At 54.6% G+C, this 23767-nt stretch overlaps 2 protein-coding genes across 3 annotated transcripts in view, besides 7 other annotated features; one reads left to right on the top strand and one right to left on the bottom strand.

Annotated features, from left to right (window-relative positions):
- The window catches only part of BAZ1B (bromodomain adjacent to zinc finger domain 1B), an 81888-nt gene extending 74779 nt beyond the window's left edge, over positions 1-7109 (top strand). Inside the window, exons 16-20 of one of the 2 annotated variants that reach the window (NM_032408.4) lie at positions 136-251; positions 3386-3531; positions 4687-4790; positions 4962-5334; positions 5822-7109. In NM_032408.4, the coding sequence (NP_115784.1) occupies positions 136-251; positions 3386-3531; positions 4687-4790; positions 4962-5319 (724 nt within the window). In that variant the 3' untranslated portion in view covers positions 5320-5334; positions 5822-7109. Of the gene's footprint in view, positions 1-135; positions 252-3385; positions 3532-4686; positions 4791-4961 lie in introns of both variants that reach the window. The other variant, NM_001370402.1, reaches the window with a different exon arrangement.
- Positions 3925-4895: an enhancer, noted in NCBI's record as "H3K4me1 hESC enhancer chr7:72856950-72857920 (GRCh37/hg19 assembly coordinates)". NCBI's record gives its function as "activates a minimal SCP1, AML or CMV promoter by ChIP-STARR-seq in primed H9 embryonic stem cells {active_cell/tissue: H9 hESC(primed)}" and the evidence as "EXISTENCE:reporter gene assay evidence [ECO:0000049][PMID:30033119]".
- On the bottom strand, positions 11395-13737 carry FZD9 (frizzled class receptor 9). Its single transcript, NM_003508.3, has one exon. It carries the CDS (start codon positions 13505-13507, stop codon positions 11732-11734), a length of 1776 nt encoding a protein of 591 aa, NP_003499.1. The 5' UTR covers positions 13508-13737; the 3' UTR covers positions 11395-11731.
- Positions 11802-12096: a silencer, noted in NCBI's record as "tiled region #10074; K562 Repressive non-DNase unmatched - State 7:EnhWF". NCBI's record gives its function as "represses a minimal TATA promoter and a strong SV40 promoter by Sharpr-MPRA in K562 cells {active_cell/tissue: K562}" and the evidence as "EXISTENCE:reporter gene assay evidence [ECO:0000049][PMID:27701403]".
- Positions 13045-13918: an enhancer, noted in NCBI's record as "H3K27ac-H3K4me1 hESC enhancer chr7:72847927-72848800 (GRCh37/hg19 assembly coordinates)". NCBI's record gives its function as "activates a minimal SCP1, AML or CMV promoter by ChIP-STARR-seq in naive H9 embryonic stem cells {active_cell/tissue: H9 hESC(naive)}" and the evidence as "EXISTENCE:reporter gene assay evidence [ECO:0000049][PMID:30033119]".
- Positions 13045-13924: a biological region, named in NCBI's record as "H3K27ac-H3K4me1 hESC enhancer GRCh37_chr7:72847927-72848800".
- Positions 13635-13924: a silencer, noted in NCBI's record as "silent region_18247". NCBI's record gives its function as "represses an Ori minimal core promoter by ATAC-STARR-seq in GM12878 lymphoblastoid cells {active_cell/tissue: GM12878}" and the evidence as "EXISTENCE:reporter gene assay evidence [ECO:0000049][PMID:35858748]".
- Positions 18232-18953: an enhancer, noted in NCBI's record as "H3K27ac-H3K4me1 hESC enhancer chr7:72842892-72843613 (GRCh37/hg19 assembly coordinates)". NCBI's record gives its function as "activates a minimal SCP1, AML or CMV promoter by ChIP-STARR-seq in naive H9 embryonic stem cells {active_cell/tissue: H9 hESC(naive)}" and the evidence as "EXISTENCE:reporter gene assay evidence [ECO:0000049][PMID:30033119]".
- Positions 23347-23506: a silencer, noted in NCBI's record as "silent region_18246". NCBI's record gives its function as "represses an Ori minimal core promoter by ATAC-STARR-seq in GM12878 lymphoblastoid cells {active_cell/tissue: GM12878}" and the evidence as "EXISTENCE:reporter gene assay evidence [ECO:0000049][PMID:35858748]".

Raw genomic sequence — 23767 nt, 5'->3', positions numbered from 1 at the left:
CCCTCCCTGAATTATCATACGTTATACATATGTAGTCTGTGAAGAGAAGTTTCCTGATCCCTGTGGGATTTGAGCCCTTCTTAGGACCACTTTGGGCTAAAACTGTGTTCCCTACATTATTTTTTCTACCCACAGGAACTATACTGAAGAGTCTGCTTCTGAGGACAGTGAAGATGATGAGAGTGATGAAGAGGAGGAGGAGGAAGAAGAGGAGGAGGAGGAAGAAGATTATGAGGTGGCTGGTTTGCGATGTAAGTATTTTGTCTGCCTTTGTAGTTGATTTCACAGTCTTCTAAGCTTGGAACGCTTGGAAAGGCTGGCTTGGCAGTAGGTAGTGTGGCCGGCTTGCCCTATTCCTTTTCTCTTGTGTTGTGACTGTGGCGTAACTTAGCTGCCATGGGTTTAAATGGGTTTCCAAGATGGCGTTTAACTTCCTGCCTGGTGGGAGAGAAGGTGGCTTGATCTCAGTAACATCAACCCACTTGCTCTAAGATTTAGTAGAATTCATGGTCCCAAGTATATTTATGCCAAGGCTGCTGATTCTCAGCTCCTCGGCATATGGGGACAATGGGGAAGGAAGATCTTGGCCCATTGCCATCTCCTGACAGTTCTTTTGGCTGTTGTTTTATCGCTGCTTTCAGAGAGTGACTTTTTCTGTCTGGTTACAGTGATTTTCTCCTCCCTGCAGTGTGCAGGGTTATAGCTTTGCTGGTTTGAAAAGAGACGACTGATTATTTGAAGGCTTAGGTGGAAGGATGTTAGGAAGATTCAGATCTGTTCTCACTAGATGCCAGTAGGAAAAAAGGCATCATCTTTTGTGTTCACCGCATTGACTCTCATTCTCTCATGTTCATTTCTCATGAGTGTTGGAGAGTCTGGTGTTTGTGGCTAATGTCCTCCAGTCTAGCCTTTCTTTTAGCAGCCTCCCTCTTTCCAAAATACACTTTTTTTTTTTTTTTTTTTTTTTTGAGATGGTCTCACTGTCGCCTGGGCTGGAGTGCAGTGGTATGACCTCAGATTACCTCAGTCTCTGCCTCAGCCTCCCGAGTATACAGACACCCACCACCACACCTGGCTGATTTTTGTATTTTTAGTAGAGATGGAGTTTCACCATGTTGGCCAGGCTGGTCTCGAACTCCTGAGCTCAAGTGATCTGCCTGCCTTGGCCTCCCAAAGTGCTGGGATTACAGGCATAAGCCACTATGCCCGGCCAATACACTTTTCTTTACAGGTTCGTAGAAAACAGACCACAGATCAAAATTCTAATGAGCTTTTGAAGCAGTGGTACAGTTCCCAAGATCATAGCAGCTCTGAATGGTCATACTTGGTATAAGGAGTGAGAGAGAGGATGCCTGGCATGACTAGTCTCTTACTGTAGTGAGACTGCCAAAACCTAATGATTTGGGCTTGCCCGTCTTCTCCTGTCCTCCCACTTTCCCCCCCATACTTCAGAGGTGTGATGTGGGACACCTTAAGCTCTCACATACGTATGGGCTCTTTTTGTTTGTTCACTACGCCTGATTTTTCAGGTATCCTAGGGTAAGTGAACAAATGGCCCATCAGTCCTGCATTCAGGAATATCCTCTTCTGTTGGTCAGAGTCAGTGACTTGGGCACACCTTTGTTTGGGAACATATTTTTTTTGGCGGAGCGGGGGATGGGTATCTTTCTCTGTTGCCCAGGCTAGAGTGCACTGGTATGATCACTGCTCACTGTATCCTCGATCTCTCAGGCTTAAGCAATCCTCCTTACCTCAGCCTCCTGAGCAGCTGGGACTACAGGCACGTGCCACCATGCCCGGCTTTTTTGTAGAGATAGGGTCTTGCCATGTTTCCCAGGCTGGTCTTGAACTCTTGGGTTCAAGTGATCCTCCTGCCTTGGCCTCCCGAAGTGCTGGGATTACAAGTGTGAGCCACTGCGCCTGATCTCTCTGAGGGCAGATCCTGAATATGGTAGTATACTGATTCTGTTTATTTGTAAGCTAGTGATTGCTTTCCACTTCTACGTTGTAGCTCTCTTTCCAAGGAATTGCTTTTCTAAGTTTTTACGGCCTCGACTTGCCAAAAGGATCTGGGAAGTATTTGGTACTTCAGAGCTTTTTGTCAACTCTATCTTTCAGACCACCAAAGATGTGGTTCCCCAGTGCAGCTCAAGGTTCTAGCACCTAAGCATCAGATTCTTACCCTTTCTTACTAGCCTGGGCTTGAGCTAGAGACGCTAAAGTAGCCAAGAAAGGGTTATCGTGATCCAGAAATAGAATGGAAAGTAGTGTTTCTGGATTATTCGTGTCACTGCCTTCCTAGACCTCTGTGTCCAGTGTCATCTCCCCACTCCCCAAGGGAAGGTGGTGGAGAGCCTGGAGCTAAATCCTCATGGCATTGTTTCCCAGGGCTCACTGAGGAATGCCAGTTGGCTTGATGGTGAGCACCTGTTGTAAACCTGAGACACAAGTAGTCTCAGTGCCTTTGTGTGTGTGTGTGTGTGTGTTTTTTTTCTTTTGTGAGATGGAGTTACACCCTTGTTTCCCAGGCTGGAGTGCAGTGGCGTGATCTCGGCTCACTGCAACCTCCGCCTCCCAGGTTCAAGCGATTTTCCTGCCTCAGCCTCCTGAGTAGCTGGGATTACCAGCATGTGCCACCACGCCCTGCTAATTTTGTATTTTTAGTAGAGACGGGGTTTCACCATGTTGGTCAGGCTGGTCTTGAACTCCCGACCTCAGGTGATCCACCTGCCTCAGCCTCCTAAAGTGGTGGGATTACATGTGTGAGCCACAACGCCCGGCCTATATTCTTTATTCTCTCATTGGGGATCCTGGGCAGGGCTCTTATGGAGGGGACTAGCCCTAAATTGTATTTAATGAGGAGCCTTGTGGCCCTTCATGGAAGTACCAGCTTTTCTCTGGAAAGATTCTGATGGTAAGTGTAGAATAACTCTGGGAATTACAACATAGGGTTTGTTTTACAATCCAGTTCCATCTTACATGTAAATACATCCACTCGCTCAGGCTGAGCTTGGGCTGTGGGAAATCCAGGCTGACCTATTAGCAAATGGCTTCTCATGAGTGAGAGTTTACAGTTGATTCCTGCAGGGGCCTTATGGCTGGGAGTAACTGCAGGACGGGGCAGGACAGAAGTACTGAAGGACCTAGCCCTCTGAAGGGCTTTGGCAGTGGATGAAAGGCACCCATTCTTCATCGGCTGCCACTGCCTTTTAGTGTCCTGTTAGGTAAGGCAAGATAAAATAGCAAGAGCACCTTAAAACCAAAGGAGGCCACTGCTTTCCTTGTCCAGGAAAAGGATTCTCCCTGCATCCCTTTCCCCCATTTCGAAGATGCTCCTCCCTTCACCTTCCGTTGTTCTCTGCTGAATCCATAGTTTTTCTTTCAGTGAGACCTCGAAAGACCATCCGGGGCAAGCACAGCGTCATCCCCCCTGCAGCAAGGTCAGGCCGGCGCCCGGGTAAGAAGCCACACTCTACCAGGAGGTCTCAGCCCAAGGCACCACCTGTGGATGATGCTGAGGTGGATGAGCTGGTGAGAATTATTTATCATCCCTTCTCTAACCTTTCTGTTTCTTATTCCCTACCCCAGCAATTAGGAATTCATCAGGCAACAGGTGGGAGGGGAGCCTCCCCCCTCCTCCTTCTTACCAAACTTGGGAGGCTGGGGAGGCAGATGGGTGAGCCTGTACGCAGACAGAAGCAGCAAGGCCTCCAGGAACAGCTATGTCCGGCATTCCCCTGCTGTAGCCTGCAAACTAGTTAGCGGGCAGCCTGCAACTTATTAAGGATTTAAAAATAGTATCCATGTGTCTCCAGTGGGCTCAGAGGGGCTGGGTCTTCATTGTGGGAATGTCAGCAATGCTGGAGCCTCACTTACTGTTGAGTCGACAGTTGTTATGGGAGGGACATTACCCTCCCCTCTGCTCCTTAACCAATGTAATTTTAGTAGTTTTTAGATCTCACTTGAGCTTTAAAGAACAAAAAAGAAACTCTTGAAAAGGTGCTTGTTTTGACAGATCAAATTGGAGTTAGGGGCTTAAGGCAGGCCATTTGGGAGATCATAAGGCATTAGAAGATGCTCGGTTTGCCACAGCCTTGGGCTCTGTGGCCTCTGCTGTGAATCACAGCTTTTGTTATGGCTACCTGGAATGGAGGCCCCGCCCCTTTTCTCTTTAGCCACTTAACCCTCACATGTCTACGGTGGAAGAGCCCAGGAAGGGAATTGGACCTCTTGCTTTTCTTACCAGAGGCACCCCACCCCCACAGAATTGGCTGCTGTTGGCCCAGATAGCATGTTTTGCTTTCTGCAGTGGCTTGTTGATGCCCTTCCATGGTGTCACTGTAACCCCAGGTCCACCTGTTCTCTGAGAGCTAGTGTCCTGTTGACAGTAGCCCCCTTCAGCCGACCTCCAGCAGGACTGCTGGTAAAGGCGGCCCCCGCTGCCTGCTCTTTGCTGCTTTGATTGCCGTGGCCCCGGGGGAGGCGAGTGAGTGGACTACTGGGAAGATGCCTGCCACCTGGGCCGAGGGTGCTCCCTGACTTGAATATCAGAAGGTTTCAGCACCTCTGCGCCAAGGAAATAGTTGAACTCTCTTCCTTTTTTGAGCAGATACACTTATTTTCTGCCCTGTCCATTCTTCCTCCTGTCTTGAATCTGTAATAACATTGTTCTTTCTTTCCTGCCAGGTGCTTCAGACCAAGCGGAGCTCCCGGAGGCAAAGCCTGGAGCTGCAGAAGTGTGAAGAGATCCTCCACAAGATCGTGAAGTACCGCTTCAGCTGGCCCTTCAGGTGAGTGCTGTGTTCTCAGGTGCAGGGGAGAGGAGTGGCCTGGCTGGTTCTAAAAGCTTCCAGAGCCCCTGAGGGGCTCTCAGCCAAGCCCTTGCTTTTCAGGACGTGTCTCAGTGGCAGGGGCACTGCCGTCAAGGCTGTGCAGATTCTCCATTTGGTTCTTCTCCACAGGGAGCCTGTGACCAGAGATGAGGCCGAGGACTACTATGATGTGATCACGCACCCCATGGACTTTCAGACAGTGCAGAACAAATGTTCCTGTGGGAGCTACCGCTCTGTGCAGGAGTTTCTTACTGACATGAAGCAAGTGTTTACCAATGCTGAGGTTTACAACTGCCGTGGCAGCCATGTGCTAAGCTGCATGGTGAAGACAGAACAGTGTCTAGTGGCTCTGTTGCATAAACACCTTCCTGGCCACCCATATGTCCGCAGGAAGCGCAAGAAGTTTCCTGATAGGCTTGCTGAAGATGAAGGGGACAGTGAGCCAGAGGCCGTTGGACAGTCCAGGGGACGAAGACAGAAGAAGTAGAGAGGCAGGGCCGTGGTAAGGGAGCTGAGGTGGGGGGACAGCTAGGGAGGGTGGGAGGGAGGCGAGCGAGGAAGACCAAGAACCTGGAAGAGATCACAGGGAGTCCAGAAACGCCTGTCATCCCAAGCTTATGCTGTTTTTCTAAAAGCTCTTTATGGGGCTTGATATTGGGTTGGTGGTCTTTGTCCAGAAATATGAAGGGACAAAGAGGGCCATAACCCTCCCTTCTGAGAGTTTCCAGGAGGAGTCCGAGGGTCTAGCTTTTCTGGTGAAGCCAGTTCCTGTTCCTGCCTTCTTTCCTAAGGGCCTGCTCGCTCTGGCTTCCACCACAGTGCCAAGCCCCTCTGGTCTCCAGGGGAGGGATTGCTGTGTTACATAGCAGGATCGGGGTAATCAGGCCAACAGGGGAGATGGTGGCGATTTTTCTTTTTTAATCTGTATTTATTATACAGTCTTGTTTCTTTAAGCCCATACTCTGTCTCTTCCCCCGTCTTCCTCTCAGGTGACAGTATCAGTGAGTGCCATACAGAATTGTGTATTCACCAGCATCATGAAACAGTTGTGGTCTTTTGAGTTGATCTTGGCAGAGTAAAGGGACGTGTCCTGGAGCCATTCCTGAATCTCCCCTTCTTTGTGACAGCTCCTCCCACCCCCCCAAAAAATAAAAAAACCACAAAAAACAAAAAAACAAAACTAAGGCACTTCACTTAGAGACTGGAGTCCTGCTTATAATCATGCATATAACCTTTACTTTGATGGATCTGGCCAGAGGGGTGTTGGAGCCCAGCCCACCCACATACCAGTCAAGCTCTTAGGGGAGCAGAAGAAAAGCAGGAAGAATTTAAATGTTTAATTTTTTTTTTAAATTGACTTTTCTAGTTATTAAAAGTTGCTTGTTTCAGCAGTGATATTGTATAAAGAACATCTTGTAAGATACTCCTGACATCTTGCTTTAGCACATGTACAGTACAGTTTCTATGATAATGTGTTTGCTCTAACTTCCCTGGCTTCTCCTTCAGCCCATCCACTCTCCTCTAGAGCAGTTGGGTTGGAGGCTCATTGAGGCAAGCAGCAACATTGGAGGGGGAGCAGGGCAGTGCTGTGTCTGCTGCCTCCCATGCCCGTTCTGACCTCAGCCTTGGAACTCCTCAAGAACCTGAAGATTCCAGTGGTCAGTGTCGGTGGGGGGTGGGAGGAGAGAGCGGCAGAGAAGCTCTGAGAGCCCCTTCCCCCACAACAAATCTAGCTCTAGTTGTTATATTTAGGCAAAACTTTGTAGTCTTCTTTCCCTTTTATGATGGATTTTGATAAAAGTACAAAACAGGGTTTTTCTTTTTTATCACCTTTGAATTTGGAAATTTTGAGCACCCAAGCTCTTCTGTACCTATTTAAAGTCCACCAAGGGGACTGCAGCTCCTAGAACATGAGAATCAAGCCTCTTAATTTTAAACTGCGGAATGTGGCCTCTGCTTCCTCCGTCCTCCTGCCCAAGGACGACGAGGATTGCTCCAGGGCTGCTGGGTAGTTTACCGTCCCTTCTATAGGCATGGAGTTGGCACTGACATCACAGCTTCATAACCCCACCACCGCCAGCTTCCCCTGCCTCCTACATCCAGTCTGTTCTTGTTCATAGTGAGAATCCTGTGTTCCCACTTCAGTGACACCTGAATTGTTTGTTGTTGTTTTTTTTTTTTATTGTCTTCAAAGAGGAAGGGCCCCATTAAAGGGTGAACTTGTAATAAATTGGAATTTCAAATAAACCTCATGTACTTGTGTTTATAAAGAAGAAACCACTCTGGTGGCTGTTTGTGCTCTTTCTTGGTGGGTGGGGGTGGGTAGTGCTGTCCCGAGTGCTGCTTTCCCACTGACCCTTGGAGCCGGGTCCTCTGAAGGCTTGGCCTCCAGAGTCAGGGCCTCTCAGTGTTCTTAACCACAGAAAGAAGTACTCCCTCCAAGCCTCTCCTGGCCCTGTCTCCGTCTAAAACCCTGAAAAACTTCATTTGAAACTAGGAATTACGGTGAAAATAGGTTTTTAAGCCTTCACTATGGGGAAATTCTGCCATTTTAAAACCTTTCTCAGGGAAAAAAAATTTTGGGGAGGGGGGCGGTGGGGACAGTCTCACTCCATCACCCAGGCTGGAATGCAGTGGCGTGGTCTCAGCTCGCTGCAACCTCCATCTCCTGGGTTCAAGCAATTCTCCTGCCTCAGCCTCCCGAGTAATTGGGGTTACAGGGACATGCCACCACGCCTGGCTAAGTTTTTGTATTTGTAGTAGAGCCAGGTTTTCACCATGTTGTCCGGGCTGGTCTCGAACTCCTGACCTCAGATGATCCACCCGCCTTGGCCTCCCAAAGTGCTGGGATTACAGGTGTGAGCCACCGCGCCCAGCCTCAAGGAAAATTTCAAACACACAAACAGTGGAAAAGTATAATGAATTCCCATGCACTCGGCTTTGACGGTTCTACCACATGTCTAATCTTGTTTTATTTATGCCTTCATTTATCTTTTAAAGTCTGACTGGCTGATATGCGTAGGGTGCTGCTAGGCAGCCACCCGCCAATGGAATACAGAGATTTTGCTGAGCCACTGCTGTGGGCCCAATTACTGAGAAATTAAACTGCCAATTCCTGACCAGCTGAACGAGGTGAAGCTGGTGTAATGGGAAGAGCCTTTGAGGCCTGAGCCTTGGGCGCAGGTTCTGCTGCTGAGCAGCTTTGCGGCCTTGGTAAGCACGGGCGAGCCAGGTCCTACACAGAACACTTGGGGAATTTTTGTCCTGCCTGGAGGAAGCGGGCTTGCCCCAACAGCAGATTGAATTTTCCTGCTCATCCGCTCCAGCCTCCAGCTCTGGAGAAGAGAACCATGCTCCTTCTGGACATTTTCTGCATGGCGACAGTGACACTTGGGGCTCCCAGCCTTCCTCTATGAAGTCCTGCTCCTCCAGTAATTTCCCCAGGCACACACTAGGATACTGCCTTGGGGTGGTCACTTCTGGTCGTGTCCTGGTCTCAGCACACTCTTAGCCACTGCCTTACCAGGCTGTGACCTTGTGGGGCAGCCACTTTGATGACTGCAAATGGGGGCATGGGAACTCCATCTCTGAGGACAGGGGCCTGAGTCATGACCTGGGAGTCAGCTGAGGCCTGTCCTTGTCCTGCACACTCTTCTCAAGTTTTGTCTCTGGGGAGGTGACATGGTCAGTAGACTTGGTTAACAGGTGGCATCTGGATTCCAACAGAGCCACTCAGAGGGGGCATCTCTTCCTGCTGGCCAGGGGCTAGGGTGTCTCTGGAGGACACTGAGGAACTCACCTCCCATTAACTGCGCTCTCCTAACCCCAGCCCTGGGCCTCCTGGCTTTTCAACACCTGGGACTGCTGTGTTCAGGAGCTGCTTCCTTGAGCGGGCAACTTCCTGGGAGCAGGAGGATCTTGGGCTCACCACACACAAGCGCAAACCCACAGGGACAGGCTCAGCCTCCCAAGAGGCTTGCGGGCGTGTGGTGCCGCACTCTGAAGACCCAAATGCTGGGCACCAGGACCACTAAGGGGAAGGCCCGGGCCTGGGCACGCGATGCACATGCCAGCACGTGTGGGTTTCCGAGGTATTTTTGTTTGGCCCTGGAGGGTTCTTTAATGGGCGTGGGGAGAGGTCTGGCAGTGGTAGGGGTGTTTGTCTCCTCCCCACCCGCTTTGCCCAGCTTCTGGGGACATAAACTTGCCAAGGCATACACCCTGCCTTTCCCCACCAGGACCTAATCGGATCCCTGGTGTGGAACGCACAAAAGTTCTGGAGGCAGACTTGGGTTCAACTCCCAGCTTGGCCTCAAACTGCGTGGCTATGTGCTGTAGCGGCCAACCAATCTAAACACTTCCCGTCCGAAACGTGAGGCGAGCAGATCACATGAGAGGGCTGTGTTTCCTTTTTCCCTTTCCTCCAGGGCCTAGGACTTATTTCCATAGCATCTTCCAGGTCTGAGAAAGCTGGCAGGGCCCTGCCCTCCCTCCCAGGTCCTGGCCTCAAAGCACAGCCCCCGGGGCCTGTCCTGACCCTGCACTGCCCCTCTCTGCGCTCCCATCTGGGCTGCCCTGAAAACCAGCAGCAGGCTGGTGTCTGCTGAGCAGGACATGGTCACTGACAGCAAGGAAGAAAGAAGGGGCAGGTGGGTGCCCTTGGATGCTCATCCTCCCCCTGCCTTTCCCACACCCCGCCTGCCTTGCTCTTCCCAAGTCTGTGGAATCCTCTCCATTCGCTCCAGCTGCCCCCGCCCTGGTATAGGCCCTTCCCATCTTCCCTTCCACTGCCTGTGAGCCCAGCTCCCTGAAGCCTCTGCCCCTCCCACGCCCAGTGTGGGCACTTTACTGCCTCTAACGAGCTCATTCTGTTTCCCACTCAAAGACCCTCGCATGGCCAGGTGCAGTGGCTCAAGCCTATAATCCCAGCACTTTGGGAAGCCAAGGTGGGTGGATCACTTGAGGCCAGGAGTTCAAGACCAGCCTGGGTAACATGGTGAAACCCCGTCTCTACAAAAAAATACAAAAATGAGCCAGGCATGGTGGCGGATGCCACCCAGGCGGCTGAGGCAGGAGAATTGCTTGAACCTGGGAGGCAGAGATTGCAGTGAGCTGAGATCGTGCCACTGCACTCCAGTCTGGGCAACAGAGTGAGACTCTGCCTTAAATTAAAAACAAAAACAAACAAAAAACAAACAAAAAACCCTCGTGCAGCATTACAAGGAGGTAGGGTCACTTGGCTTTGTTGGTCAGAGGCACATGGGGACTTACTTAATGTGTGCTCTGCGCAAAGGGAAGGATTTAGATGGAGAGGGCGTTCCCCGTGCAATAAACGGCCTAAGAACAGGTGCAAGGGCTGTAAGCTTCCCTGGGGCACCACTGCGCCTTGTGGTGAGGAATACCCCTTAACCCCCTCAGCCTGCCATGGTCTTGTCTCCTGGGAGCGTGACCCAACCTGTTTGATTCTCACTGGACTTTTCTTGTCCCTGTAGGATTGGTGGTTGGGGTAGGGCACAGGGCTCCAGCCCGAGAGGCCCTAGGTTTGGGGCTCCGCCTCACCATTCATCCTCAGCACCTGAGCGTCTCCCCTCCTGGAGCCTCCCCGTGGCTCTAAAGTGAGGCTGGCAGCAGGGCTGGACCGCTGGGATCTCCTGGCACTGACACCAAATGCCGGCCGTGTATAGTAGGCACCCAGGGACACTAGTAACTAATACTCTCACCTGGCTGGAGTCACAGCAGCCAAGATGGGGCCCTGGGGTCTGACCCCAAGCCAATAGGGGTCTCCAGATGGCCACACGTGCCCAGCTACCCAGTCCGCAGAAACAGGACAGGCCCTAGCAGCCCTAAGCTACCCCAGCACACAGATGGACATGGGACCTTTCCCCATACCTGCCCCAGTGTGGAGCTCTGCACAGCCACCTGAGCTGCCTCATTCCCACCGCTGCCATTAGCAACTCAAATCTGACAAGCTTAGGAGCTAGGGGCCCAATTCCCACTCTACTCAAGGGCTTCCCAGCTCCACGTGCATGTCTGTGCTACCCAGAGGCCCACAGACCAGAACAACCTCTTCACCCCACCTGGAGACGCCAGGGAGCAGGCTGGGGCTGCCCTGGTGGGGGCTGCCCTGGTGGGGGCCCCGAGGAGCCAGGCAGACGCACCAGCAATTTTCCAAGGCCCCAGGGAGGCGGTCCTCGTGACAACATTGACACAGGCTGACACCTTTACTTTCCACGCCAATAAGGAGAGCAAGTTCCCAGAGAAGGAAAACTCATCCATAGCCTCAAACTGGACTCCCTGGGGCCAGAGGTGGCAGTGTCACCCTGGGGAATTCCCTGAACATCCGCAGGCGTCCCTGTCTCCATTTGGAAGCACAGAGACGGGCGGGAGGGGAAAACACGCACACATGGTGTCTGGGACTCCTGCAATGCACAGCTGTTCCGGGGGGACTTCCTCCTGATTGGGGGGTGCCAGCACCCACTGCCAGCTCTGCTTACAAGAAAGACTCCTGCAGGGCCCTCACCCTCCTACCTTCCCCCCTTCCCAGCCAGAGAGGACTCAGCAGTGCCACGCGGGGGTTTATTCCAGTCACAGCTTCCAGAGGAACGCAACAATAAATTACATCATTAAATAAACTCCGGCTGGACCCCTCTGCCCCGCCCCTCCACATCCTCCACTAGGACCCTGTGGGGACTCAGCCTGGTCCAGCCCCCGCATTAGGGGAGACCCCCATCTCCCCTAATGAGCCTCACGGGGTCCCGCCCTGATCCTCAGTCCCCGGTGCTCACTTGCCTGACCTTGACAGCTGGGCAGCTGCTAGTCAGCTGTCTCTAGGGGATGCAGGGGGCAGGGCGTGGAGGGCAAGGAGGGGGCAGCAGCCACCCCGCGCCAGGCCTGTGTGGCTAGAGGTGTGTGGGGTTCTCCAAAGAGGGGTCCGTCTTAGTCATGTGCAAGACCACGGTGGGAGCCTTATAGTGGCAGTGCGTGCCACGTCCGTAGCTCCCGGGGGCGCGGCAGGCCTTGGCCCGGGCCCGGCCAGCTGCTATCTTGCGGTAGCACAGGCTCTGCCAGGTCTGGAAAGTCTTGGAGCTCCACACCCAGACGCCGCTGGTGATCCCCACCACCAGTGACATGAAAATTTTGAGCATGAAGACCGCCACGGTGGGCACCGAGCCCCCTGGCAGCGAGCAGTCCCTCCGGCCTCCGGGCCCCGCGGCCGCTGCGCATGGCTGCTCTGTGGCCCGAAGGCGCCAGAAGTCCATGTTGAGGCGTTCGTAGACATAGCAAACGATGACGCAGGTGGCGGGCACCGTGTAGAGGATGGAGAAGACCCCGATCTTGACCATGAGCTTCTCCAGCTTCTCTGTGTTGGTGCCGCCCGTCTTCATGATCTTGCGGATGTGGAAGAGGGCCACGAAGCCGGTCAGGAGGAAACTACTGCCCAGCACCAGGTAGCCAGAGAGGGGCACCAGCACGAAGCCCGTGAGCGCTGCTGCATCCGTGCTGGCCACGTAGCAAAGCCCAGTCAGCTCATCACCCGCCACCTTGCGCAGGGTCAGGATGACGATGGTCTTGAGCGCGGGCAGGCCCCAGGCAGCCATGTGGAAATAGCTGCCGTGGGCCTCGATGGCCTCGTGGCCCCATTTCTTCCCGGCAGCCAGGAACCAGGTGAGCGTCAGGACCACCCACCAGAGCGAGCTGGCCATGCCGAAGTAGTAGAGCAGTAGGAAGACCAGCGTGCAGCCCGTGTTCTCCAGGCCCTCCTGGATCACGTAGAGCGCGCCCGCCTCCTGGTCACAGGCCACGCTCTGCGCTCCGGCCACCGCACGGATCAGGAAGGCCAGCGAGTAGACGTTGTAGCACATGGAGAGGAAGATGATGGGGCGCTCGGGGTACTGGAAGCGGTGGGGCTCCAGCAAGAAGGTGAGCACAGTGAAGGCGGTGGAGAAGAAGCACAGCGCCGACCACACGGCCATCCAGACCAGCGCGAAGTCCTTGTCGCGCCGGGACCAGAACACCTCGACGCCGGGCCCGCAGCGCGGTGCGCACGAGCGGCTCTTCTCCACGTACTGGAACTTCTCGGGGTTCTCGCAGGTGCCACTGCCGCCCGCGCCCGGGCCCAGGTCTCCGGGAGGGCGCGCGGGCCGCGGCGCCACGGGCAGCATGCCCAGGCCCTTGTGGGGCTCCGCGGGGCCGGCCGTGGCGTTCTCGGGCGCCTCCATGCACAGCGCGTGCGGGTCGTTGCGCGTGGGCAGCCGGGCGCAGTCGAGCGAGTCCGGCCAGCCGAAGTTGAACTGCTCCATGATGGGCGCGCAGCGCAGGCGCGCCTGCTCGCACATGGGCCGGCAGGCGGGAATGGGCGTCGAGACCTGGTCGGTGCACATGGGCGCGTAGAGCGAGCACAGGAAGAAGCGCAGGTGGCTGTGGCAGCCGTACTGCACCAGCGGCGCGAACTCCGCTAGCTCGGCAGCCGCCTCGCCCTGCGACGTGTGGCCCAGCAGGTTGGGCATGCGGGTCAGGTTGTAGCCGATGCCGCGGCACATGGGGATCTCCACCGCCTGGCACGGCGCAGCCCCGCGCCCGCGCTCCGGGTCGAAGCGGCCGATCTCCAGTGCCGCGCCGCCCGCCGCCAGCAGCTGCCACAGCAGCAGCGCCCCCCGCAGAGGCGCCACGGCCATCCCGGGAGGCCCGGGCCGAAGGCGGGAGCGCGGCCCCGGCTCACTCGGGCTCAGCGGTCCCGCGCCCCGGTGCCTGCCCGCCACGTCGCGGGGCGCGGGCCATCGCTGAGCCGCCCACGTGTGTCCGGGCGCCCTGGGCAGCGAGCGGGCAGCCGCCCGAGGGACAGGAGCCGCCGAGCCCGCCTAGCCGCCACCGCCGCTGCCACCGGAGCCGCCGCTGAGCCAGAGCCGGCGCAACCTCCCGGGGCCGAGGCTACCAGCCCCCGGGGCGGGGCTCCGGGAGGACACGCCCAGGGACACGCCTCCCACTGGGCTTTAAAGGCGCCGCGTCTCCCGGCCACGCGGAGCACGGGGTGGGGCCGGGCCTGGTGGGTGTCCGCCCGCTTGCCCTCCGCTTACACTCGGTTTCTTCCCTTCCCTTGCTGCCTGGGAGAGGCTGCGGGAAGTCCCCGTACCCACACTCTCAGACTGGGTCGCCTCATTTTACTCTAGGAGGGAGACTTTTTTTTTTTTTTTTTTTTTTTTGAGACGGAGTTTTGCTCTTGTCGCCCAGGCTGGAGTGCAGTGGCGCGATATCGGCTCACTGCAACCTCCGCCTCCCGGGTTCCAGCGATTATCCTGCCTCAGCCTCCCGAGTAGCTGGGATTACAGGCTCCTGCCACCACGCCCCTCTAATTTTTTGTATTTTTAGTAAAGACGGGGTTTCACCATTTTGGCCAGGCTGGTCTCGAACTCCTGACCTCAGGTGATTCACCTGCCTCGGCCTCCCAAAGTGCTGGGATTAGAGGCTTGAGCCACCGCGCCCAGCTGGAAGACTTTTTATTTTTATTTTTAATTGTTATTTCTTTTTAGAGACAGGGTCTCTCTGTGTCGCCCAGGCTGGAGTCCAGTGGAACGACCATAGTTCACTGCAGCCTCCATCTCCCGGGCTCAAGCGACCTTCCCGCCTCAGCCACCAGAGTAGCTGGGATTACAGGTGGGCACCACCACTCCCGGCTAATTTTAAAATGTTTTTGTAGAGACAGGGTCTCACTATGTTACCCAGGCTGGTCTTGAACTCCTGGGCTCAAGGGATGCTCCCGCTTCTGCCTCCCAAAGTGCCGGGATTACAGGCGTGCTCCACCGTGCCCGGCCAGGGGAGACCATTTCTAAGGCTTCCCACGTGTGGAAGTCTGCCTTGTACCCAGTGGCAGCTCAAATACAGCGTCTGCCTCTCCCCTCAGTGTATGTGACTTGGGGCTCCTCTCTGAGCCTCAGCTTGCTTTTCTGTAATGCAGGCAGATAATCCTACTGTTAAAATCAACAGTTCTGCCAGGCGCAGTGGCTCACCCCCACCCCCATCTTGCCCCATCAGCCTGGGCAACATAGTGAGACCTCGTCTCTAATAAAGAAAAAAAAATAGCTTTTTTTTTTTTGAGATGGAGTTTCGCTCTTGTCGCCCAGGCTCATCTCATCGCCCAGGAGTGCAATGGTGCGATCTTGGCTCACTGCAACCTCCGCCTCCCGGGTTCAAGCAATTCTCCTGCCTCAACCTTCCAAGTAGCTGGGATTACAGGCGCCCACCATCACTCCCGGGTAATTTTTGTACTTTTAGTAGAGACAGGGGTTTCACCATGTTGGCCAGGCTGGTCTCGAACTCCTGACCTCAGGTGATCCATCCACCTCGGCCTCCCAAAGTGTTGGGATTACAGGCATGAGCCACGGTGCCTGGCCTGAAAAAAAAAAAAAAGAAAAAAAAAAAAAGAAAATCAACAACACGTGTTGGGCACCTGAATCTGATCGATCACACTTCATACTTGCCCTTATTGTATCTTCTCAGCAATCCAAGAATGCTACGTTATCCTTATTTCCCAGGTGGGGAAACTGAGTCTCAGAGAGGAATGACATACCCAAGGGCATAGAGCTACTAAGTGTTCCATTTGTGATTGTCTGTTCCGGAACCCATACCCATTTCACAAGGCCACCGTGCTCCTCTGGGGAGTGTCGCCATCACCCTCTCACCTCTCTCTAGGCTGCCCCCTTGAGACTCCTGGGACCCGCTTAGAAACTGCCATGGTTCCTGGGTAGCTCTGTGGGTGAAATCCAAGTGCCACCGGCAGGCCACACAAGGGGCAAGGGGCCCTGATCTGGGACTCTTTAGAGAAGGCCATCCCCCTTTCACCCAACTGTTCCTATTCTCTTGGCCTGGAAACACCTGGAGGACTCAGAATGTTTCACATGAGCACTTAGTACTGTTTCATGTGAGCACTTAGCATCGTTTCATGTGAGCACTTAGTACTGTTTCACGTGAGCACTTAGCATCATTTCACGTGAGCACTTAGCATCGTTTCATGTGAGCACTTAGTACTGTTTCACGTGAGCACTTAGCACTGTTTCACATGAGCACTTAGTACTGTTTGACGTGAGCACTTAGTACTGTTGCACGTGAGCATTTAGCACTGTTTCATACGAGCACTTAGTACAGGGCTAGGCACCCTGGCTGAGCCCAGGGATGGTGAGTGAATGAATGAGTGAGTAACCTAGAACTTCAGGGAGGCACAGAAACTGACCGAGGACCTGTTGTGAGCCTCCTGGGCTCTGGGCCAGGGATTTTACAGTGATCATTTGTTCACCCTCATCACAGTGCTACAAGGAATCCCGTACCCATATACAGATGAGAAATTGAGGCTTAGCAAACTCAAATATTTGCCCAGGATTACGCAGCTCGTAAGGGTCAAGATTGGCATCCAGGCTCCTCCATTGCAAGAGGCTGCCTGTTAACACCACCAGAGGCAGGACACCAGCCCAGCCGGCCCAGCTCAGCCACACCTGCCTGCACTAGAGCCTGGCCTGTGGTAGGGACTTGGGAAGGAGTCAGCAGTGGTGGTGGCAATGGTGAGAAAATGGGGCCATCATTTCCCACACATCCCTGTAATTAGTACTCTGCTACCCTTAGAGCTGTGCTGGAGCAGGGAGGGGACCAGGCAGGGGACATGCCATCTCGTGCATACACTCAGCCCCTCGCTCCTCAAGAGGATCGGGAGATGGGGCACCAAGGAGACGCAGCCAGCCCTGTGTCCAGCACAGGATAGTACTCAGCCACATGTGGGCCATGAGACGTCCTGAAGTTCCCAAAGAGGTAAGGCAGGAGTATGGTACCTGTGACCCTGGGGGACCCAGGTGAGGCACCGTGGCTCAAGCCTGTAATCCTAGCACTTTGGGAGGCCAAGGTGGGAGAATCACTTGAGCCCAGGAGTTCGAGACCAGCCTGGGCAAAATAGCAAGACCCCACCATCTCTAAAACAAAAATAAACAAAAAAGTCAGGGATGGTGGTATGCGCCTGTAGTCTCAGCTACTCAAGAGGCTGAGGCTGGAGAATCCCTTGAGCCTGGGAGGCTGCAGTGAGCCATGATCACACCACTGCACTCCAGCCTGGGCAACAGAGTGAGACCCTATCTCTAGAAAAAAAATAAAAAGAAAGACAGGGAGAGGGGGAGGGGAGGCAGGGGGAGGGGGAGGGGGGAGGAGGGGAAGGGGAGGGAGGGGGAGGAGGGGAAGGGGATGGAGGGGGAGGAGGGGAAGGGGAGGGAGGGGGAGGGGTTAGAGGGAGGGAGGGGGAGGGGGAGGGGAGCGGGGGGGAAGGGAGGGCAGGGCAGGGCAGGGCACTGCAGGGAAGGGAAGGGACCCAGCTTTGATCACCTGGGCATTGATAATGGAGGGTCCCAAAACTTCAGCAGCAGCTGCCCAGAATAAAGTGCATGCTCTCAGGGATGGCAGTGGAAGTTCCTCCAAGCAGAGACCCCGCCTCACCTCTTCATTTCCTGTCACACCCGACACCCCACTCTTACTCCTCCCCAGAAACACCCTGCAAAGCCATGCTTCCAGGCCTTTGCCAGGCTTGTTTCCCCAGCTCTGAAGGTCTTCCTCCTCTTCTGTTCCATCTGGCACCCCAGATTGAAGCATCACCTCCCAGGGCCAGCCCAGCAGAGCTGGGCTGGGGCTGGAGGCTCTGCTCTGTGGATCCAGGGTCCAGGCCAGCCCATCTGTCCAGCACACTGTGGCCTCTGCATCCGTGCCCTCCCTCGGCCCCATGCCAGCCACTGTTCAAGGGCCATGGAATAACATCAAGAAATAACATATTGGCCGGGTGCAATGACTCACACCTGCAATCCTAGTACTTTGGGAGGCCAAGGTGGGAGGATTGCTTGAGCCCAGAGTTCAAGACCAGCCTGGGCAACACAGCAAGACCCCCTCTCTCCACAAAAAAACCCACAAAAAAACAACCATATTATTTCTCTGTATCTGGCCCCAAGGAGGCCTAGGTGCACAGATGATAGTGATGTGTGGCCCCAACTCCTGAGCCCCCAGCTGTCAGGGTGCCAGGAGGTGGGGCTCCCCTCCCACAGACTTGGGAGGTTCAGGCTGCTAGAAACCTCCCAGTGCTGGGGCTAGCCTAAGAGCCAGGTTTTGTGGGCCCCCGCCCCCATCTTGCCAGGGTGGAGAAGCGTCGGGGGGCCCTTCCTCTGGCAGCTTCGGTGGGCAGGGCGCCCCAGGGGCCGTGGGATGCCAGGCCTGTCACCATGGCAACGGCCGCGCCTGGGAAGCCAGAGGAGGGGAGTGGATGAGCTCCGCCCCCACGCAGATGCGGCCTGGGAGAGAAGAGGCCTCTGGCCTCCTGCCCACCCACCCGGCTTTGTCACCCGATCTCCCTCTTTACAAAGGTGGAACAATGCTCCTGGAGCTCACTGAAAGGGAGACTATGCGGAGGACCGGAGGACCGGAGGGGCCGGGAGGAGGGAGGTCACTATCAATGCCCATCTCCGGCACCCCTCCCTGGGCCGAGGGGCCCCCCTAACTCCTCCTCCCCCTGGGGAGAAGCCGTCCCTCCTGGGACCCCTGGCTGGGGCCAGTAGTTGTCCTGCATATGTGGGAAGGGACGCCCTCCTGACCTGTGTCCCTGCATCCCCAACCCTCCCCTCCCCGAACACATGTCAACCCCTAGAGGGTACACCCTCCCCTTCCTTTCCTGCCTCCTCCAGGATGACCCCCACTCAGCGCCCTGCGGACCCTCGTGCCCACCTCTGTGCCTTGCAGCCACCATGCTGCACCTGTGCCTTCATCCCCATGAGCCTGGGGAGGTCAGGGCCCTGGCTGTGCTCTGCAGCGTCTGGGAGCCTGCCCTGGAGTGGGCCCCCATAAATATCTGTTGTGTCTAAAGAATGTCAGAATGAGAAGAGGAGCAGAGATCCTTCTGGAATGGCTGAACTCTTGTGGGGCCTAAGGCTGGGGAAGGGGTATTGATTGGATTCTGGGGGAGAGAGGTGGCGGTGTGAGTAAGCAGGGACCAGAAAGGGGAATATCCTGCGCCTCCTTCAGGTGCCTGGGCTGCCCTACAGGAGAGGCTGTCTGTGGTCTCGGGGTACCCAGCAGGTCCACCCGACACACCTGCTCCCTGGGGCAGGATGGGCAGGAGCACCAGTGTGTTCCTGCGGAGGCAGGTGCCAGTTAGTGTGTGTGTGTTGGGTGGGGGGCTGTGTGTCTGTCTGTGTGTGTGTGTCTCTGTGTGTGTCTCTGTGTGTGTGTCTCTGTGTGTGTCTGTGTCTCTGTGTGTGTCTCTGTGTGTGTGTGTGTGTCTCTGTGTGTGTATGTGTGTCTCTGAGTGTGTGTGTCTGTCTCTGTGTGTGTGTGTCTGTGTGTCTCTGTATGTGTGTCTCTGTGTGTGTGTGTCTGTGTGTGGGGGTGTTCTGTGTGTGTGTCTGTGTGTGTGTCTGTGTGTATCTCTGTGTGTGTGTGTATGTCTTTGTGTGTCTCTATGTGTGTATGTGTGTGTATCTGTGTGTGTCTGTGTCTGTGTGTGCATCTGTGTGTCTGTGTGTGTGTCTCTGTGTGTATGTGTGTGTCTCTGTGTGTGTGTGCGTGTCTTTGTGTGTGTGGTTCTGTGTGTGTCTCTGTGTGTGTGTCTGTGTGTGTCTCTGTGTGTGTCTGTGTGGCTCTGTATGTGTGTCTCTGTGTGTGTGTCTCTATGTGTCTGTGTCTGTGTGTGTGTCTGTGTGTGCGCATCTGTCTGTGTGTGTGTCTGTGTGTGTGTGCGTCTGTGTGTGTGTGTGTGTCTCTGTGTGTGTAGGTTAGGTGTACACACAGGGTCCATGCAGGTGCCTGTTTACTCCTGTGTGTGCACCTGTGCCCAGGTACACAGGCTGTGCACAGGGGCGGGGCTGGAAAGACCCCGGGTGTGGCTCAGGGAATATTTTCCCTTCTGTAGCTTGAGCCCTGGTTCTAACTGAGTTTCCCTTTATGAGCTATCAAGGGCTATACTAGACTGTCTGTTCCATTTTTTCTTTTTTTTTTTTTTCGAGACCAAGTCTCACTCTGTTGCCTAGGCTGGAGTGCAGTGGCATGATCTCGGCTCACTGCAACCTCCGCCTCCTGGGTTCAAGCGATTCTCCTGCCTCAGCCTCCAGAGTAGCTGGGATGACAGGCGTGCGCCACCACACCTGGCTAGTTTTTGTATTTTTAATAGAGACGGGGTTTCACCATGTTGATCGGACTGTTCTCGAACTCCTGACTTCAGGTGATCCACCCTCCACGGCCTCCCAGAGTGCTGGGATTACAGGTGTGAGCCATTGCACCTGTCCCAATTTGATGATTTTTGACCTATGGATTATATGTATGCAGTCTTCATCAGGATTGGTCCACATAATGAACATATTCCAGTTAAAATGCAAATATCTTACTGGAAAGTAGCACATTAAAATGTTAATAACTGGCCAGTCTTGGTGGTTCACGCCTGTAATCCCAGCACTTTGGGAGGCCGATGTGGGAAGATCGTTTGAGCCTGGGGGTTTGAGAGTAGACTGGGCAACATAGCGAGACCCCATCTCTACCAAAAATTTAAAAACTAGGCAGGTGTAATGGTGTGCAACTGTGGCCCTAACTACTCGGGAGTCTGAGGCAGGAGGATTGGTTGAGCTGGGAGGTCGAGGCTGCAGTAAGCTGTGATCTTGCCACTGCACTCCAGCCTGGGCAGCAAAGTGAGACCCCATGTCTACAAAAAAAGGAAAAAATTAACCGAGTATGGTAGCACACACCTGTAGTCCCAGCTACTTGGGAGGCTGAGGCAGGAGGATCACTTGGGCCCAGGAGGTCGAGGCTGCAGTGAACTATGGTTGCAATCACCACTGCACTCCAGCCTGGGCACAGAGACCCTGTCCAAAAAAAAATTAATAACTAGTACATACTACAGTATAGTGTGAAAGGAGCTTAATCATAACTACCATTTATTAAATATTAATTTGTATGTCATTTAATCCTGACAATACCTTATGAGGTGATTATTTATTTATTTTTGTTGAGACAGAGTCTCGCTTTGTCACCCAGGCTGGAGTGCAGTGGCGTGATCTTAGTTCACTGCAACCTCTGTCTCCCAGGTTCAAGTGATTCTCCTGCCTCAGCTTCCTGAGTAGCTGGGATTACAGGAATGCGCCACTACGCCCAGCTAAATTTTTTGTATTTTTAGTAGAGACGGAGTTTCACCATGTTGGCCAGGCTGGTCTCTCCATGTTGGCCTCTCCTGACCTCAAGTGATCCACCCACCTCGGCCTCCCAAAGTGTTGGGATTACGGACATAAGTCACTGCACCTGGCTGGTGGTTATTTTTTATTCTCATTTTTAGATGAGGACATTGATATTTAGAGAGAATTGAAGCAACTTGGGCAAGTGATAATGCCAGGATTTTTTTTTTTAAGACAATGACTGGGCATGGTGGCACGTGCCTGTAGTCCCAGCTACTCCAGAGGCTGAGGCGGGAGAATTGCTTGAAGCCAGGAGGCGGAGGTTGCAGTGAGCCAAGGTCGCACCACTACACTCCAGTCTGGGCGACGGAGTGAGACTCTGCCTCAAAAAAAAAAAAAAAAAGACAGCGAGTATATTTATCACCCCAAAAGTTTTCTTGTGCCCTCCCTCCCTTCCTTGCATCTATAGTCAGGCAGCCAATCACTGCACTACATTTTGTCATGACAGATTAGTTTGCATTTGTTATATAGAATATAATGTTATGATTTTATGTCACTGTTTTTTTTTTTGAGACAGAGTCTTGCTCTGTCACCCAGGATGGAGTGCAGTAGCGCGATCTCGGCTCACTATAACCTCTGCCTGATTTTATGTCACTTTTTAATAGGGGACATTAAGTGAGCACTTACTCCATGCCAGGCAATGGCCCTTTTGTGCCTCTGCAGCACACAGCACAGACTAGACTGGGTTCGGGGGACACAAGATGAGCCAAATTTGGGACCGGGCATAGTGGCTCATGCCTGAATCCCAGTGCTTTGGGAGGCCAAGGTGGGAGGATCACTTGAGGCCAGGAGTTTGAGACTAGCCTGGGCAACATAGTGAGACCCTATCTCTCTATATATATTTTTTAAATTAGCAGGGCATGGTGGCACATGCCTGGAGTCCCAGCTACTCGGGAGGCTGAGGCGGTAGGATGGCTTGGGCCCAGGAGGTTGAGGCTACTGTGAACTATGATCGCGCCACTGCACTCCAGCCTGGGCATGGAGCAAGACCCCATCTCTCTCAAAAACAAAAAAAGATTCAGCTCCTGCCCTAGGGTGGCTCAAGATCAGCTGGAGTGACAGACAGAGCAGTGACCACTCTGGTGTCAGCTGATGCCCATGATTAGAGAGAGAAGCTGTGGGGGCTGGAGTCAGCAAAAACAATGCAGGAGCTGAATCTCAAAACCCAGTGGGAGCCAGGTAGAAGAGAGGGAAGGGTGTTGTTGACAGAGGGACCAGCCTCTGCAAAAGCACTGGCGAGAAACAGGAAGTAGCCCACTTCATGCTGCGGGTCTGGAAAGCCAGGATCTTCCCTCGGGCAATGAGGAGCCTTAGAAGGTTTTTCTTGTTTGTTTTATTTTGTTTTGTTTTTGGTTTTTTAGACGGAGTCTCGCTCTGTTGCCCAGGCTGGAGTGCAATAGCGCGATCTCGGCTCACTGCAATGGCACGATCTTAGCTCACTGCAACCTCTGCCTCCTGGGTTCAAGTGATTCTCCTGCCTCAGACTCCGGAGTAGCTGGGATTGCGCCACCATGCCCGGCTAATTTTTGTATTTTTAGTAGAGATGGAGTTTCACCATGTTGGTCAGGCTGGTCTCGAACTCCTGACCTCGTGATCCGCCGGCCTCTGTCTCCCAAAGTGCTGGGATTTCAGGCATGAGCCACCACGCCTGGCGGAGCCACAGGTTTTAAGGGAGGGAGTCCTTAATAGGGGCTGCACAGAGTGCTGTGGGGGCAAATGGCAAGCATGGGTTCTGCAGGGAGCAGGTGGGGACCAGAAGAGAGGACAGAAGAGGACACAAGCCCAGTGGCTCACAGCTGTAGTCCCAGCTACTCGGGAGGCTGAGGCGGGAGGATCGCTTGAACCGGGAGGTAGAGGCTGCAGTGAGCTGTGATTGTACCACTGCACTCCAGCCTGGGAGACAGAGCGAGACCTCATCTCTTAAAAAAAAATTTAAATTAAAAATAAAAATGAAAAAGAGAAGTGGACAAGCGCCGGAGCCCTGGAGGCCTCTGAGGCCGTGATCGCAGCGTCGGCCAAGGGCAGTCCCGCTCTCTGCGCTGCTCGGGGAGCCCCGGCCACGGGACAGGCCCGGAGGCGCCGCCGCTGCTGAAAGCCGCTTTTGTGCGGCCCAGCGAGCTCCTGTTTCGTTGACGTTGGACTCTGCTGCTTATTTATCCAACTCGGAGGGAAATTCTGCAGCGGCGAGGGGGAAAAAATAACCTCAGCTGCCGCCGGGCGACCAGGAAAGAGGCCCCAGCGTCCCCCACCCCCACCCTCCTTCCCGCCGGCCTGTCCGGCCCACAGAGGGGCCAGGGAACCTGGAAGGACCCGGGGTCCCAGCTCCCTGCAGCCTGGGCCTCAGACGGCGCAGGCGCAGAGCCCTGCCCCAGCCCCGGGCCGGGCCGGGAGCCCACCTTCTCGGAGGCTGTGCTGGTCCCAGGGGGGTCCCCAGGGAATGTCACCTGACTCCTGGGCCAGCCCCTGAGGCCAGCAAGCTGCACTGTGCCCGGCCCCTGCCTGGGGGAGGCTCTGGGAGAGATGGTCCCCAAGGTGTTCTGGGGACTTTCTTGACCCTGCTTGGCTGGCCCAGCCGCAGGCGGGCCACTGCAGCCAACGCAGGACCCTGGCTCCCGGCCCACCCGCCTCTCCAGGTATGAGGGGCAAAGCCCAGCACGGCGGGGCAGGTGGGGCTGTGACCTTCAGCCTCCGCAGACCACGTCCTCTCTC

This window comes from Homo sapiens, chromosome 7 (genome assembly GCF_000001405.40).
Source record: "Homo sapiens chromosome 7, GRCh38.p14 Primary Assembly".
NCBI lineage: Eukaryota > Metazoa > Chordata > Mammalia > Primates > Hominidae > Homo > Homo sapiens.
This window is presented reverse-complemented; position numbering and strand designations above follow the sequence as displayed.

What these genes read in the sequence shown, in the direction of transcription:
- FZD9 (NM_003508.3), bottom strand. Translation starts at nt 13,507, where the DNA reads ATGGCCGTGGCGCCTCTGCGGGGGGCGCTGCTGCTGTGGCAGCTGCTG.